Source organism: Homo sapiens, chromosome 2, assembly GCF_000001405.40.
Source record: "Homo sapiens chromosome 2, GRCh38.p14 Primary Assembly".
Lineage (NCBI taxonomy): Eukaryota > Metazoa > Chordata > Mammalia > Primates > Hominidae > Homo > Homo sapiens.
The window spans coordinates 117,118,492-117,137,493 of NC_000002.12; the positions used below are offsets into that span (position 1 = coordinate 117,118,492).

The window sequence follows — 19,002 nt, forward strand, 5'->3', positions numbered from 1 at the left end:
TATTTTTATACCCATTAACCATCCCTATTCCACCCACTCCATAACCCTTCCCAGCCTCTGGTAACCATCATTCTACTCTCTATGTCCATGAGTTCAGTTGTTTTAATTTTTAGCTCCCACAATAAGTGAGAACAGGCAAAGTTTGTTTTTCTATGCGTGCTTATTTCACTCAACATAATAATCTCCCATTCCACCTAAGTTGTTGCAAACAGGATCTTATTCTTTTTGATGGCTGAATAGTACACTTCATTGTGAATATGCACCACATTATCTTTATCTATTCTTCTGCTGATGGACACTTAGGTTGCTTCCAAATTTTGACTATTGTGAATAATGGTTGCTACAATAAACATGGGAGAGCAGTTATCTCCTCTATATACCGAGTTTCTTTCTTTTGGATATATACCCAGCAGTAGGATTTCTGGATGATATAGTAGGTCCAGTTTTAGTTTGTTGAGGAATCTCCAAACTGTTATCCACAGTGGTTATGCTAATTTACATTCTCACCAACGGTGTACAAGAGTTCCCTATTCTCCACATCCTCACCAGCATTTGTTATTGCCTATCTTGAATAACATCCCTTTTAGGTGAGGTGAGATAATATCTCATGGTAGTTTTGATTTGCATTTATCTGATTATCAATGATGTTGATCATCTTTTTATATACTTGTTTGCCATTTGTATGTCTGCTTTTCAGAAATGTCTATTCAGCTATTCTGCTCATTTTTAAATGAATTATTAGATATTTTCCTGTTGAGGTATTTGAGCTCCTTTTGTATTCTGGTTATTAGTCCCTTGTCAGAAGAAAGGTTTGAAGACTTTCCCCCATTCTGTGAATTTTCTCTTCACTTTGTTGATTGTATTCTTTGCTCTGCAGAAGATTTTTAACTTGATGTGATCTCATTTGTCCATTTTTGTTTTGATTGTGTTATGCTTGTGGGGTTTTACTCAAGAAGTCTTTGCCCCCAGACCAACGTCCTGGAGAGTTTCCCCAATGTTGTTTTTAATAGTTTCACAGTTTGATGTCTTAGATGTAAGTCTTTAATCCATTTTGATTTGATTGTTTTATATGATGAGAGACAGGGGTCTAGTTTCACTCTTCTGCATATGGATATCCAGTTTTCCTAGCACCATTTATTGAAGTGACCGTTCTTCCTGCAATGTACATTCTTGACACCTTTGTTGACAATGAGTTCACTGTAGATGTATGGACTTGTTTATGGGTTCTCCATTCTGTTCCATTGGTCTAGGTGTCTGTTTTTATGGCACTACCAAACTGTTTTGGTCACTATTGGCTTCGTAGTATAATTTGAAGTTAGGTAATGTGATTCCTCAGGTTTTGTTCTTTTTGCTCAGGATACCTTTGGTTATTCTGCAACTTTTGTGTTTCCATATAAATTTTAGGATTTTTTTTCTATTTCTGTGAAAAATGCCATTGATAATTTGATAAGGACTGTATTGACTCTGTAGATTCCTTTTGGACATTTTAACAATATTGATTCTTCTAATCCATGAACACAGAATATCTCATTTTTTGGTGTCCCCTTCAATTTATTTTATCATTGTTTTATAGTTTTTATTGTAGAGATCTTTCATTAATTTAGTTAATTCCTAGGTATTTAATTTTGTTTGTAGCTATTGTAAATGGGATTATTTTCATGATCTCTTTTTCAGATTGTTTGCTATTGGCATGTAGAAATGCTAGTGATTTTTATATGTTGATTTTGTATTCTGCAACTTTACTGAATTTGTTTATATGTTCTAATCTTTTTTGGTGGAGTCTTTAGGTTTTTCCAAATGTAAGATCCTATCATCATCTGCAAATAAGGGCAATTTGACTTCTTCCTTTCCAATGTAGATTCAATTTGTTTCTCTCTCTTATCTGATTGCACTAGCTAGGACTACCAAAATCTATCTCATTTGATTCTCCTAAAGTACTCATGTAGTAAGCTAATAAAACCTTACACTTACCATCTTACACAACTTGGAAAGAGAGTTGTAGAGGTTGCAGAGCTAGAGCCCTGCAATATACAATCAATTTGTTAACAATTGCCTGGAAAAATCCTTTGAGACTTCTCTATATTCTCAAGGTAGGAAGGCAAAACATTAACATTGCATCTTCACTTATAAGAGGGAGAAAACATTTTTTTAGTTGGTTTTTATCTCTATATTGAAAAGCCTCTGGATCCACTGCTTTTTTCCCACAACTTTTTTCATAAATCTTTATGTTTTCTTTCTTATTCTTCCTTTTACCAGGTTTTCATTCCTTCCTTATTAATTAAAAAATATTCTTGAGTACCTAGTATGGGCTAGGCACAGTTCCAGAAGTAAATGTAATATTTTTGGAGTTTCTGTTCTAATAAAATTACAGTTCACATTGAAAATTTATATTGTCTTTGCCCTCTGCAGCAAAGCCCTAAACATATTATATTTTTATAACAAATAGGAAAACATATTCTATTTATACTTTTATATAAAATATGTTTTAAATGCTAGTTATAACTTTGTGTGTCCATGTATTTCAGTATGCCTACACATGGAAATTAATAACAATATTTTGGTCATTACTTTTCTCCAATTACCTAAAAATAATGTTTTCCAATAAAAAATAAAATATGTAACATTTTCTCTAAAATTTCCATTAGCAATAACGTTATTAACAATATTTAGTATTAACAATTACATATCTTATTGTATCTTATTATTAACAAAAATAAAGATATAAAATTATACCTTTAAAGATATGCATCACCTGGGTTTGATGGCTCAGGTCTGTATCCTTAGGCTTTGGGAGGCTAGGGTGGAGGATCACTTGAGGACAAGAATTCACGATCAGCTTGGGCAACATAGCAAAATCCCATCCTTACATGAAAAATAATTTAAAGATTACCTGGATGAGGTGGCTCTCACCTGTGGTCCTAGTCATTCAGGAAGCTGAGGCCAGAGGATTGCTTAGGCCCAGGAGTTTGAGGTTACAGTGAGCAACTATTGCTCCACTGCACTGCAGCCCGAGTGAAGAGTGAGACTCTGTCTCTAAAAAAAAAAATAATAATAAATTAAAATGGATGTCATACATTCAGCAAGAAAACATAGGAAATGAAGAGATATAATAAATCATTGTAGAAGGAGAAAAGTGTGTTCTGTGAAACTTTACTCTCCCTCTGTGTGTCTCTGTCTCTCTGTATGTCTGCATGTGTTTGTATTATAAGTTGAGATATGTGCATGAATTTGTATTTATATATACACATGTACTTATATACATGTGTATACATATATAATACATACACCTATACAACATATAATATATATCATCTACATTATATATACACAAATATATACATATTCTATATAGAACATTAAATGACTAGAGGACTTTCTATTTCTATATCGGCACAGCTAACTCGACTATTCAAAGGCTGGATATTTTATTTTAGGGCTCGTTTTTTTCTCATCCTTTTTCTTATTATCGTCGGGCTTTGTGTTTCTTCTCCAATCAGTAACGTTTGCACAGAGTAAAGAAGGAGAAAGAAAAAGGTGACTTTAAGATAAATCTATTTTTCTACTTCTGAATAAAGTTTTAAAAGCAGAAAAGTTGAAAATTGGAGACTAGCGCTGAAGTTTTATCTGTGGTTGGCTTTTATCTGTGGGTGGCCTTTATCTGATCTCTAGTAGTTCCTCCCTTCTGTGGATTATAAAAATGAAGCCTCTATACAAAGAGTTTTGGGTACCGCTCATCTTACCACTTCATTCATTGGTCTAAAACTTCAGCCTCAGGAACTTAGAAGTATGTTTTAAGATTATCCAATAGTAGCTTGAGATATAGGACCACTTTTTTTGTTCATTAGATTAAAGAAGCTACCGTAAACATATCTAGCCCTGAGTGGTGGGTTATATGTGAAGTGGGTGGTGGTGATTATCTAAATTCATTGCTATGAAACTATGAAGCTCCTGAAGACATAATCTTTTCCTAAAGAATAACGAGTTTAAAATTTTTATAAACATCACTACCCTATTGCTGAGAGATTTGGTTACAAGTTTTGTTTTCTTTTTTAGAATTTTAACTCTTCAGAGAGTGACTAGGTCTTTAGTAATGTGTTTTTGTATGCAGGAACTTGCAATCCTATGATTTTTCTAAATTTATCTCCATATTGACACTCCAAGAAGTTTTATGAAAGGTCCAGTGGTTACTATAGGAATACAAATCTCTCTAGCTGAAACTCTATGAGTGGGCTTTATCATTTTCTAGAAAATAACAAGATATTAATTTGGATTTAATTGGTTCAAGTAAGGTAGTAAAAGAATTGTCACATGTATACATTATTTTTTCTTTTAAAAAATCATTTATTTATTTATTTATTACTGTTGATTTGTTTGAATCAGCATCCAAACAAGGTCTACACATGACCTCAGTCAACCTATTTTTTACACTTCTTTTCATCTTTTATTTTCTTGTAATTTATTTGCAGAGGCAAAGGGGCGGTTTGCTGCCAGGGTTTCCCATGGTCTAGATTCACTGATTGCCTGCATTTAAGGGGGAAAATACAGAACATATTTCTCCGACCTGTGTATTTACTGTCCACTAGTAATTAGAACTAGTTGCTTTATTTAATTCAAGTTTATTTTTCTTTTTTTTTCTTTTTTTTTTTTTTACCTTTTTGGCGGCACTCCTTCAGAGGTAAAGGTATACACTTATCTCAGGAGGCATTGAATGTCTGACTATCTCTTATTTTACATCATCATCATTGGTCATTATCATCATTGCTTGAATTGATTATTTCATTATGGGTTTTTAAAATACAAATATTTTGTGACTTTTTAATCAATAACATTTCTCCCTGGTGTATGTAGTAGGACTGCGCATGAAGCATCTGCTAAATTTAATTATATAGGAAGAAAATTTAAACCATTTCATGCCACAAACTATTTGACCACTGGAATGCTGTGAAAAAATATCTTTGGACTTGCACAGAAATAGGCCAGCTTAAATGATGTTTGAGTGAAAGACAGCTCCGTAATATGGGTAGAAAAATCCTGACTTGCAGATTTTTATGGAAAAATGACATAATGCACAATCAGCATTTTCTAGACCTTCCAAGTGCCCAAATTGTATGAGTTATTCATCTATTAAATCAGTAAATATTTAGAACTACTCTTATCCAAGTATTGAAGCTACAACAATGATCTGATCAAGACAGATAAATCTCCAGCCCTCATAAAGTTGCTTACATTTGATAGGAGAGAATGATATAATTTCATAATTTATGTAGTGACAAGCATAGTAAAGAATAATAAAATTTGAGAAGAGAAAATGTCACTTTAGGTCAGGATGTGAGGGGAGAACTCTCTGAGAATATAATGTTTAACAACAAGACTAAATTATGTAAAAAAAAAATAATATCTGGGGAAAAAGTGTAAGAGGTGAAATCAAATATAAAATCTCTAAAGCAGGAAGACATTTGTCCTATCCTTGGACTTGTTTGGAACCTGAGAAAATGGATTGCTGATAATGTCATTTGAGATGGTAAAAATTATAGGAACAACATGATTGAAAATGGGGGAGGGAGTCCTAGAATTAAGTTTGGGAAATGCTGAGTTTGAGATACCTCTTAGACACTCAAGTAGAAATGTCAAGTTGGTAATTGATATATGTGAATCTGGAACTCAGGAAGATATACATTTAGGGCAAAGAAGAAGAGATTGAAGAGCTGTTAGTCAAAGGATCACTGTCAAATTTCAGAGATGAGGAAGGAATACAGAATGTCTGTATCTATAAAACTAATTGTATTTTATAAGTTGGACCAAGTATAATACTGCCAAACATTCCTAATAAAAAGTGCACTTATACTTATTTCTTTCCTTAAGTATTACTTGTTTCTATATTTCCTTATGCAGAACTCTACTCCCTGGTGGGGCACCCTGTTATATTTTGAATTATTTTCTTGTCAAATGATATTCTAGATTTCCCTGTTGTCAGCAGCTAATTCATGGCTGTGTCACTTAAAGTGTGTCCTGTGGAACAACAATTTCTTCCAGGAAATTAGAGGTTCTGTGGTTAAATTTGCTCAGAAACACTATTTACGTTACCAGTATTTGGAACATCCCAGCATCTAATAGAATATTAACAAAGGACATCTCAGAAGCCCATCGAGTTTTGTCCACAAAATTATTTTTACAGAAAACACCTATTAACCTCCAATGGAACTGGTACCTAAAAAACAGTCTTCAGGAAATGCCATGGATGGATCGATGACTCTAACAGCCACACGTCTCAATCAGAAGTTCTATGAGCAGGTCCCTCTCATTCTGATGTTTTAATTGACTGATGCCCATTGATTCGAGGAGATGTAATAAGAATATTGCTAACAGAAGAACCAAAATGCTGAGGGCATTTGCATGAATCACATCTGCTCCATAAAGCCTTCACTGAGTACTCTGTCCTCATTAGTTTTTCTTGTTTCTAAACTCCCATAATATTCATAGCTCCCATAATGCTCAAATATCCAATCGCTCACTATTCAATATTTAATTGTACACAGGCTTGTATTTCTGGCTCATGGCTTCCATCCTCACAGCTAATCATTCTTCACTTCTACATGCATGGTCCGTATGTCTCAGTCAAAACAAACTCTCTGAGTCCTCAAGCCTGCCCGATGTTTGTTCAGTATTATGCTTTTGAAAAAGTTGTTTGGGATCTTCTATCCTCTTCCCATCTTGGCCAATTATTATTGGTCTTCAAAGTCTCGGTCAAATATAACTTCTGCTGCAAAACTACCCCTGTCCTTTAAGTTTTCATGATGTTTTGTATAAATAGTCACACTGTCACACTTCACACACTATTCTTTGCTATTAGTGTTAGCTTCTGAGACTATGTCTCACTAATTGATAGAAAGGGCAGAAGTGTGTCTTATTCAATTGTGTATCTATTTGGAGAGACTTCCTGGGAGACTCAATTCCCCAGGAAAAATAGAGAGAGAGAAAAAGAAAGCACATTTTTTAATACATTTATCTGTGGATGGACACTTAGGTTGTTTCTATATCTTGGTTAATGTGAGTAATACTGCAATATGCATTGAAGTGCAGGAATGTCTTCAAGATTCTATTTTTATTTCTTTTGGATATATGCCCACCAGTGGGATTGCTGGATCATATGGTAGTTTTATTTTTTTTATTTTTGAGAAACATCCATATTATTTTCCACAATGGCTGGACAAATTTACATTCCTACCAACTGTATACAAGCGTTTTCCTTTTTCCACACCCTCCCCAACTCTTGCTATTTCTTGTGTTTTTGATAATAGACAATCTAAAAGGCATGAAGTGATCTCTCATTGTGGTTTTGATTTGCATTTCCCTGATTTGGCTGCTCCCTGTTTGCAAAACCAAAAAACAAGGACAAGGGGTGGCAGGAAATTGACTTTATTTACCAAAAATAGCAGTGGGAAAATGTAACCACCCAATGGATTCACCTTGCCTGCTGCCTAGACAGAGCTAATTTATCAAGACAGGGGACTTGCAGTAGAGAAACAGTAATCCATGCAGAGCTGGCTGTGCAGGAGACTGGAGTTTTATTATTACTCAAATCAGTCTCCTGAGCATTCGGGGATCAGAGTTTTTAAGGCTATTTTGGTGGTGGTGGGGCAGAGGGGAAGACCAGTGAGTCCAGAGTGTTGATTGGTTTGGTCAGAGATGAAATCTGGGAAGTTGAAGCTGTCCTCTTGTGCTGAGTCAGTTTCTGGGTGGGCGCCACAAGATCAGATGAGCCAGTTGATCAATCTGGGTGGTACCAGCTGATCCATCAAGTGCAGGTCTGCAAAATATCTCAGGCACTGAGTGTACGAGCAGTGTAAAAGGGATTAGGATCTTGTAGTCACCAGCTGCATGACTCCTAAACCATAATTTCTAATCCTTTGGCTAATTTGTTAGTCCTACAAAGGCAGTCTAGTCCCCCATCAAGAAGGAGTTTTGTTGTTGGAAAGGACTGTTACATGGTCTTTGTTTTAAACTATAAACTATAAACCAGGTTTCTTCCAAAGTTAGTCAGCCTATGCCCAGAATGGAACAAGGACAGCTTAAAAGTTAGAAGCAAGATGGAGTCGGTTAAGTTAGACCTCTTCTACTGTCTCAGTCATAATTTTGGAAAGGTGGTTTCAAAAATGATCTAGGCTTCCTTCCTTAGAAAAACCATTTCAAATTTTTGGGCAGAATGTGATGGCTTTCAGAGGGAATTTTGGTATTTTGAGCATGCAGGAAAGGAACTGATGTTTTGTCTTGAGTTATTGTCTCATCTGGTGAATGAGCTGGCACCATTTTAAGCGTATCTAGATTATACATTAACTGTAGCCTCGAGATAATCTCCTGGTGGCTGAAAATTCCATAGGCACCTGGATTGTCTCAAGATTCAGTCGCTGAAACTTGTAAGCAAACATATAATTAGATAAGCTACCAGTGCAAGGGAGTGCCTGGTGGAAAGAAGGAGACCAAAAGTCACTATTTTACTATTAACAAAAAAAAGCCATCAAAAAAGGGAAGAAAGGAAAAAAGAACTAAGAAAACTCCTTAAAAATAGAGTACTCAGTTACAGGATCAAGAGAAAATGGGAGATATTGGTCAAAGGTATAAAATTTCAATTATAAGATTGATTAAGTTCTTGGGATCTAATGCACACATACCAATGTTAGTTAATAATACTCTATTATTTAATGTGAAATTTGATGGCAGTACATTTTCAGTGTCCTTATCACACACACACAATGATAGCTATGTGTGCTGATGGATGTTTTAAGTAATTTGATTATAGTAACTATTACACAATGTATACATATATCAAATCATCATGTTGTACACTTTGAATATATGCTATCTTATTTGTCAATTAAATGTTTTAGAACAAACAAAAAAGAGAAACAATTGTCTTGGAAAAAGGAAGCATGATCTATCAATACTTGATGACTTTGAGCAACAAATTCACATTTTTAACTAAAAAATGTGTGGGAGAGGGGCTTCAGTTTATTAATTTTAGCTCAAAATGCTATTTTAACATACAAGAAAAAAATAATTTCTTTATTCTTGATTAAACTGAATTTGATCTTCTATATAAGCCTTCCTACCCCAATCAGCAGAAAAAAAAAGAGACCGATATGTAATATGGATTCCTTTTAGTTTAATTTAATAACTTAGTTTGTTTAATGGGAGTTTTCAGTCTCTTTCAGTGCCTAGCCTCTGAAATAGCCTTCCATGTCTCCTGGACTCTTTTCCCTGAAATGTAAATGTACAGTAAGTTAGGCTCCTCATGCTTCAGGAAGTGGAAAGCAGGGGTTCCCAGAACTTGTAGTAATCCTTGGATTTCCAGAAGAATGTGTCTTTCATATCACTATGGTTACTGCATGCCTTACTGACATAGGCAAAGAAATCTGCAGCCAGCTTAACTCATAAACTGGTCTTGCTAGGCTTTGGTAACAGTTTTGGGTTGCTCCCTTGTTAACTTCACCTCAACTTAGCTTCAAGAGGTGCTTGCTCCTGGACCACCCTTTATCTTGTCTTCTGGTATGGCTGTCTGCCCACAACCTCTGATGAGAGGTCATCTTACTCTTTTACCTGTATTCCTTTGCAGGAGACCCCTAGCTCTCAAATAAGCATGTATGCTATGTGGAACTAAGAGTGGCCAGAAACACTAAGTCGTTGCAACCTCCTCTGCTTGATTACACTGCCCAACATTATTGATAAGAGAGGACTGATTACAAGATGATATTCTTCATGGCACAGTACTGGGGCACAGAAAATGATTTCCAAAATATGGCACTTCAGCCTGCTGAGTGCTTTGAAAATTGAAAGGACTTGAAGCTATGTTTGCAAAATTATGGCTGTAAGAGAAATATGACATAGTTGACTTCATCTTGCTTCTAACCTCCAAACTGTCCTTGGTCATTCCTGGGTACGGGCCAAGATAACTTTGGAAAGAAGTTAGTTTACAGCTTAATCTTAAAGCAAGGATTATAATGGCCCATCCCCAAACTAAATTCCCCATGTAAAGCTAATAAGGGGCCACAAGGTTGAGATTAGAGAGAGGCCTGAACTCTAAGATGTAAACATAGTTAAATAATAACCCCCTTTGTTCTGGAGATCACAAGATTTGTAACTTCCTGAATTACTCCTGTAGATAACGTCACTACTGTATAACCTAAGATTGGTCTTTTGATATATTTTTCAGACTTTTGCACTCTGGCAAGTGACTGACCACAGCCAGATGCATGACTCATGATTCAGCTGGTTCTGTGTGCCCCCTCCCAGAGGTGGACTCAAGCAAATGAAAACTGTTTTCTGCACAACATGATTGCATCTTCACCCAGTCAGCAGCACCTATTCTCTAGTTCCTTGCCTATCTGCTGTCCTTGAAAAACCTTAAGCTCGACACCTTCAGAAAGAACCCCCTCACCTTCACAAGAGCAGCAGTTACAAGTTGATTTCTGTCTAGAAGGTACATTAATTTCCCCTGAAAATTATTTACTCCTACATACTCCTACAATTACCCCCTCCCCTTTTCCTCTCTTCCTTGAAGAAGTATTTAAACACTGACCTCATCTGGCCTCTTTCTTTTCTTTTCCTTTTCTTCCTTCTTCTCCTTCTCTTTCTTTCTTCTTTCTTCTTTCTTCTTCCCTCTTCCGTCTTCTCTCTTCTATCTTCTATCTTCTTCCTTCTTCCTTCTCTCTTCTCTCTTCTTTCTTCTTTCTTCTTCTTGTTTTTCTTCTTCTTTGAGACAAGGTCTCGTTATTTTGCCCAGGCTGGTCTCCAACTCCTGACCTCAAGCAATCCTTCTGCCTCAGCCTCCTGAGTCACTGGCTGGCCCTTTCTTTTAGTTTTTATATTTTGTGTGACTCCAGTGCACATATTTGCATGTAATTACTTTGTTATGCTTTCCTTTTTTTTTAACCTATCTTTTGTTATAAGGGTGCTAAATGTGATCCTTTGCCATGGGAGGAAAGTGATCACCCCCTTCCTGTCCCTATAGTAGTAAATTTCTTAATTCTCCATTCACATGATCTAAGTCAGCATTTCCTCTCTAGGTGAGGCATTTACCTGGATTTTTTACTCTTCTCCCTCTTTCCTTTCTTCTTCCAATACCTAGGGGCAAGGAAGAGTCTAGCTTTCTCCTTTTTCTTCTTTCCACTTAGCTTTCCTTGTGTATACTCCAGACTGACTGTTAATACACTTAAAGAAGAAAATTGAAAATAGAATTTAGAGTCTTTTCTCAAGAAAGTAGCCAGATTTAACATAATTTTCTTGCTGTAAAATTAAATTTTTGAGTGTAAGAGTCTGAATATTATGATTCCTAATTTTCTTTCTTCTTCCCAGAAGCCCAGAGATATAAGTAGTATCGGCCAACTGGGGTAAAAATCATGTACTCATAAAAGCTAAGAAAAAAATCACATTAATAATTGTTGAAATATTTCTTTTCCTGTTTAAAAAGTGAATCTTCTCTCTAAGGAGAGATAATCTCTGGAAAAAGTTGCTTTGAGTTATTCTTCTTGAGCCTTAATATCTTTGACTTGCTCAGGACCTGTCACTTCTTCTTTCCTATTTCCCCTTTTTGGAATGGGAATGTCTGTCCTTTGTCTCCCCCGTGACTGTATTTTGAAATCATATAACTTGTTTGATGTCTCAGGCTTATAGCTAGAGAACAATTTGCCTCAGTATGAATGTACCTTGAGACTCTATGGGAACCATGGCCATTGATCCCTTAAAGGTTGGTTAACAGGAGAAAAGGAGGCCAGGCGCGGTGGCTCACGCCTGTAATCCCAGCACTTTGGGAGGCCGAGGCGGGCGGATCACGAGGTCAGGAGATCGAGACCATCCTGGCTAACACGGTGAAACCCCGTCTCTACTAAAAATACAAAAAATTAGCCGGGCGTGGTAGCGGGCGCCTGTAATCCCAGCTACTCGGGAGGCTGAGGCAGGAGAATGGCGTGAACCCGGGAGGCGGAGCTTGCAGTGAGCCGAGATCGCGCCACTGCACTCCAGCCTGGGCGACAGAGCGAGACTCCGTCTCAAAAAAAAAAAAAAAAAAAACAGGAGAAAAGGAATACAAACGTATTTAATATGTATACACAGGAGCCATTAGAATGAAAGCTCAGCTTCCCAATTATCAGGCCTTTGAGCTCAAGCCTGCACGATATACGTCCAGATGGCCTGAAACAACTGAAGGATCACAAAAGAAGTGAAAATGGCCAGTTCTTGTCTTCACTGATGACATTACCTTGTGAAATTCCTTCTCCTGGCTCAGAGGCTACCCCACTGAGCACCTTGTGATCCCCATCCCTGCCCACCTGAGAACAACCCCCTTTGACTGTAATTTTTCACTACCTACTCAAATCCTATAAAACGGCCCCACCCCTGTCTCCCTTTGCTGTCTCTCTTTTTGGTCTCAGTCCACTTGCACCCTGGTGATTAAAAAGCTTTATTGCTCATACAAAGCCTGTTTGGTGGTCTCTTCACATGCACACGTATGACATTTGGTGCTGAAGACCTGGGACAGGAGGACTCCTTCAGGAGACAGGTCCCCTGTCCTCGCCCTCACTCTGTGAGGAGATGAGGAGATCCACCTATGACCTCAGGTCCTCAGACCAACCAGCCCAAGGAACATCTCACCAATTTCAAATTGGGTAAGCGGTCTTTTCAATCTCTTCTCCAGCCTCTCTTGCTATGCTTCAATCTCCCTGTCCTTCCAATTCCAGTTCCTTTTCCTCTCTAGTAGAGACAAAGGAGATACATTTTATCTGTGGACCCAAAACTCCTGCGGCGGTCACGGACTCAGGAAGACAGTCTTCCATTGGTGTTTAATTACTGCGGGGATGCCTGCCTGATTATTCACCCACATTTCATTGGTGTCTGATCACCGCAGAGGTGCCTGCCTTGGTCATTCACCCACATTCTCTTGGTGGCAAGTCAAATGTGGGGACACTTGCTTTGGCTGCTCACCCACATTGCAGCCCAGGGCTGCTCACCACCCCCTTCTCCGTGTCTCTACCTTTCTCTTTAAACTTACCTTCTTCACTGTGGGCAAACTTCCACCCTCCATTCCCCCTTCTTCTCCCTTAGCCTGTGTTCTCAAGAACTTAAAACCTCTTCAACTCACACCTGACCTAAAACCTAACCACCTTATTTTCTTCTGCAATACTGTTGGCCCCAATACAAACTCAACAGTAATTCCAAGCAGCCAGAGAGTGGAACTTTCAATTTCTCCATCCTACAAGATCTAGATAATTTTTGTCAAAAAATGGGCAAATGATCTGGGATGCCTGATGTCCAGGCATTCTTTTACACATTGGTCCCTCCCTAGTCTCTGCTCCCAATGTGGCTCATCCCAAATCTTTCTTCTTTCTCTCCTGTCTGTTCCTTCAGTCTCCACCACAGGCTCTGAGTACTTCGAATCCCCCTTTTCTATGGACCCATCTGACCTCTCCCCTCCTTCTTAGGCTGCTCCTTGCTAGGGTGAACCAGGTCCCAATTCTTCCTCAGCTTCTGCTCCCCCACCCTATGATCCTTCTGTCACCTCCCTTCTTCACACCTGGTCTGACTTACAGTTTTGTTCCATGACTAGCCCTCCCCCACCTGCCCCAAAATTTCCTCTTAGAAAAGTGGATGGAGTTAAAGGCATAGTCAAGGTTAATGCTACTTTTTCTTTATCCTACCTCTCCCAAATCAGTTAGCGTTTAGGCTCTTTTTCATCAAATATAAAAAACCAGCCCAGTTCATGGCCTGTTTGGCAACAACCCTTAGACACTTTAATACCCTAGATCCAGAAGGGCTGGAAGGCCGTCTTATTCTCAATATGCATTTTACTACCCAATCCGCTCCTGACATTTAAAAAAAGCTCCAAAAATTAGATTCCAGCCCTCAAACCCCACAACAGGACTTAATTAACCTCGTCTTCAAGGTATACAATAATAAAGAAGAGGCAGCCAAGTGGCAACCTATTTCTGAGTTGCAATTACTTGCCTCCTCTATGAGAAAAACCCCAGCCACATCTCCAGCACAAAAGAACTTCAAAACACCTAAACTGCAGCAGCCAGGCATTCCTCCAGGACCTCCTCCCCCAGGATCTTGCTTCAAGTGCTGGAAATCTGGCCACTGGGCCAAGGAATGCCCCCAGCCCAGGATTCCTCCTAAGCTGTGTCCCTTCTGTGGAGGACCCCACTGGAAATTGGACTGTCCAACTCGCCCAGCAGCCACTCCCAGAGCCTGTAGAACTCTGGCCCAAGACTCTCTGACTGACTCCTTCCCAGAACTTCTCGGCTTAGTGGCTGAAAACTGACGCTGCCCGATTGCCTCAGAAGCCTCCTGAACCATCACAGACACTTTGAGTAACTCTTACAGTGTGGGGTAAGTCCTCCCCCTTCTTAATCAATACGGAGGCTACCCACTCCACATTACCTTTTTTTCAATGGCCTGTTTCCCTTGCCTCCATAACTGTTGTGGGTACTGACAACCAGGCTTCTAAACCCCTTAAAACTCCCCAACTCTGGTGCCAACTTGGACAACATTCTTTTATGCACTCCTTTTTAGTTATCCCCACCTGCCCAGCTCCCTTATTAGGTCAAGACATTTTAACTACATTATCTGCTTCCCTGACTATTCCTAGGCTACAGCCACACCTCACTGCCACTGCTTTAATACTTTTAGAGGCCCTCAAAATCACAAACTATGCTCCACTTACTTTCTACATTCCCATAACTTTCAAAATCTATTTTCCTCCTCACACTTGATGCATATACTTTCTGTCCCTCCTTCAGCTGTACTCACTCTTTGTTGAGTCTCCCACAATTACCATTGTTCCTGGCCCTGACTTCAATCTTGCCTCCCACATTATTACTGGTACCACACCTGACCCCCATGACTGTATCTCTCTGATCCACCTGACATTCACTCAGTTTCCCTATATTTCCTTCTTTCCTGTTCCTCACCCTGATCACATTTGGTTTATTGATGGCAGTTCCACCAGGCCTAATTGTCACTCACCAGCAAAGGCAGGCTATGCTATAGTATCTTCCACATCTATCCTTAATGGTACCACTCTGCCCCACTTCACTACCTCTCAGCAAGCCGAACTCATTGGTGTAACTCAAGCCCTCACTCCTGCAAAGGGACTATATGTCAACATTCCTACTGACTCTAAATATGCCTTCCATATCCTGCACCTTCATGCTGTTATATGGGCAGAAAAACATTTCCTCACTGCGCAAGTGTCCTCCATCATTAACGCCTCCTTAATAAAAACTCTTCTTAAAGCCGCTTTACTTCCAAAAAAGCTGGAGTCATTCATTGCAAAGGCCATCAAGGGGCCTCAGACTCCATTGCTCAAGGCAACAATTATGCTGATAAGACAGCTAAAAAGCAGCCAGTATTCCTACTTCTGTCCCTCATGGCCAGTTTATCTCCTTCTCATCTTTTCACTTTACATTTACAGTCTTGCCTTATAAAACGTCTCTTCTTCCTCTGGCTCCTCCACCTACAGGTGTCTACCTGCTAATTGGACAGGCACATGCACACTAGTTTTACTTACTCCCAAAATTCAATTTGCAAGTAGGACCAAACAGCTTCCCATTCCCCTCATGACACCAACACTTCACCACTATTTTATTTTATTTTTCTTATTAATATAAGAAGACAGGAATAGGCCTCAACTTACTCACTGCTGAAAAAGGAGGACTCTGTATATTTTTAAATGAAGAGTGGTGTTTTTATCTAAATCAATCTGGCCTAGTATATGATGACATAAAAAAAAAGACCCTCAAGAATAGACCCCAAAAACTTGCCAACCAAGCAAATAATCATGCTGAACCCCTTTGGGCACTCTCTAATTAGATGCCCTGGGTCCTCCCAATTCTTAGTCCTTTAACACCTGTTTTTCTCCTTCTCTTATTCAGACCTTGTGTCTTCCATTTAGTTTCTCAATTCATACAAAACCACATCCAGGCCATCACCAATCATTCTATATGACAAATGCTTCTTCTGACATCCCCACAATATTGCCCCTTACCACAAAATCTTCCTTCCCTTCAGCTTAACCTCTCCCACTCGAGGTTTCCATGCCACCCCAATCCTGCTCGAAGCAGCCCTGAAAAACATCACCCATTATCTCTCCATACCACCCCCCAAAATTTTTGCCACCCCAACACTTCGCCACTGTCTTGTTTTGTTTTTCTTATTAATACAAGAAGACAGTAATGTCAGGCCTCTGAGCCTAAGCCTGCAGGTACACATCCAGGTGGCCTGAAGCAACTGAAAAATCGCAAAAGAAGTGAAAATCAGTTCCTGCCTTAACTGATGACATTACCTTGTGAAATTCCTTCTCCTGGCTCAGAAGCTCCCCCACTGAGCACCCCTTGTGACCCCTGCCCCTGCCCACAAGAGAACAACCCCCTTTGACTGTAATTTTCCACTACCTCCCCAAATCCTATAAAACTGCCCTACCCTTACCTTCCTCTGCTGACTCTCTTTTCAGACTCAGCCTGCCTGCACCCAGGTGATTAAAAAGCTTTATTGCTTACACAAAGCCTGTTTGGTGGTCTCTTCACGTGGACACACGTGACACCAATGAGTTACAGAAGCGTGTACACCATTTCAAGGTTACAGAAATAATGCGGGTTGGATTCTGCTAACACAGGTTATGGGATTGGGAAAAAGAGAAATTCTATTGAGGGGCAATAAATGATTGCTGGGGAGAATGATTGGATCTTGGAACAGAGATTAACCTGTTAGTAGTTTCTTTGGAATTTAAATGCTCCTTGGAGATGTCTATGAAAAGAGTTGAACTCTAAAATATGTGAAGAGATTTATTCTGAGCCAAATATGAGTGACCATGGCCTGTGATACAGCCCTCAGGAAGTCCTGAGAACATGTGCCCAAGGTGGTCAGGGCACAGGTTAGTTTTATACATTTTAGAGACCATGAGACATCAATCAAATACATTAAAGAAATACATTGATTAAGAAATACATCCGGCCGGGCGCGGTGGCTCACGCCTGTAATCCCAGCACTTTGGGAGGCCGAGGCGGGTGGATCATGAGGTCAAGAGATCGAGACCATCCTGGCTAACAAGGTGAAACCCCGTCTCTACTAAAAATACAAAAAATTAGCCGGGCGCGGTGGCGGGCGCCTGTAGTCCCAGCTACTCAGGAGGCTGAGGCAGGAGAATGGCGTGAACCCGGGAAGCGGAGCTTGCAGTGAGCCGAGATTGCGCCACTGCAGTCCGCAGTCCGGCCTGGGCGACAGAGCGAGACTCCGTCTCAAAAAAAAAAAAAAATAAAATAAAAAAAAAAAAAAAAAAAGAAATACATCCATCAAATACATTTAAGAAACACATTGATTTAGAAAAGCAGAACAACTCAAACTGGAGGGGCTTTCAGGCTACAGGTGAATTTAAGTATTTTCTGGTTGACAATTGGTTGATTTTGTCTAAAGACCTGATATCAATAGAACGGGAATGTTCAGGTTAAGGTAAAGATTGTAGAGACCACAGTTCTTTTGAAGTCTTATAGTGGCTGCCCTTACAGAAGATAGGTGACAAATGTTTCCTATTCAGATCTTACCTGTTTAGGATTGGGAGGGTCTGGAAGAAAAAGATCTAGTTATGTTAGTGGACATCCTTTACAGATGTAAATTTTCCCCCCACAAAGAACAGCTTTGCAGGGCCATTTCAAAATATGGCAAATAAACATATTTTGGGGTAAAATATTTTTATTTTCTTTTTTGTCTCATAATGTTATGCCAGAGTCAGGTTGGAAAGTATATCATGATATAGGGTTAAATAAAACTCATCTGATGAGAATTTATGATTTGTAGGTCCCCAGACCCCTTAGGAATATGGGCAAGATTAAAAAATCAGAGTTTAGTCCTCAGAGATAGTTATTGTAACTCCTAAAAATGTCTGCTTAGGTGTGGTCACATGTTGATCTTTTTTACTGCAATATATAATGAAATAACAGTGAGGTAAAGAAATAACAATTTTTCTTTTTGGTGGTTTTGTATCTTAGGCAGATAAAGGGAATTCAGCCTCTTTGAGAGAGATGGTGTGGATGTAGGGGAAGGTCAGAGAGACCTTGAGACTTCTACTAGTCACCATGTCAAAACCCCATATTTTCAGCATTGATTTCTGAGCCGTGGCACTAATTTATACCTGATTAATGATATTTATTTATTTATTTATTTATTTATTTATTTATTTATGTGACGGAGTCTCACTCTGTCACCCAGGCTGGAGTGCAGTGGTGAGATCTTGGCTCACTGAAACCTCTGCCTCCCAGGTTCAAGCAGTTCTTCTGCCTCAGCCTCCTGAGTAGCTGGGATTACAGGCATGTGCCACCACCCCTGGCTAGTTTTCGTATTTTTAGTAGAGACAGGGTTTCATCATGTTGGTCAGGCTGGTCTCAAACTCCTCACCTCATGATCCACCCACCTTGGCCTCCCAAAGTGCTGGGATTACAAGCATGAGCCACTGCGCCCGGCTAAGATGATATTTAAATAAGACTTTGGACTTCAGACTTTTGAGTGTATGCAAGAGTGAATTAGCACTGTTGGCACCATTGAGATGGAATAAATGTAGTTTGCATGCAAGAAGGACATGAATTTGGTGGGATTGGAGGTAGAATGTCATGGTCTGAATGTCTGAACATTTCTTTTTTTTTTTGTTTTTTTAATTATACTTTAAGTTTTAGGGTACATGTGCACAATGTGCAGGTTTGTTACATATGTATACATGTGCCATGTTGGTGTGCTGCACCCATTAACTCGTCATTTAACATTAGGTATATCTCCTAATGCTATCCCTCCCCCCTCCCCCCTCCCCCCACCCCACAACAGGCCCCAGTGTGTGATGTTCCCCTTCCTGTGTCCGTGTGTTCTCATTGTTCAATTTCCACCTATGAGTGAGAACATGTGCTTTTTTTTTTTTGTCCTTGCGATAGTTTGCTGAGAATGATGGTTATTTCTATCCTCTTCAAAGTTATG

General features: G+C 39.1%; 1 annotated feature.

The window, feature by feature from the left end:
• Positions 9,533 to 10,732: an enhancer, noted in NCBI's record as "CDK7 strongly-dependent group 2 enhancer chr2:117885600-117886799 (GRCh37/hg19 assembly coordinates)". NCBI's record gives its function as "activates an origin of replication core promoter dependent on BRD2, BRD4, P300/CBP, MED14 and CDK7 cofactors, with strong dependence on CDK7, by STARR-seq in HCT116 cells {active_cell/tissue: HCT116}" and the evidence as "EXISTENCE:reporter gene assay evidence [ECO:0000049][PMID:35650434]".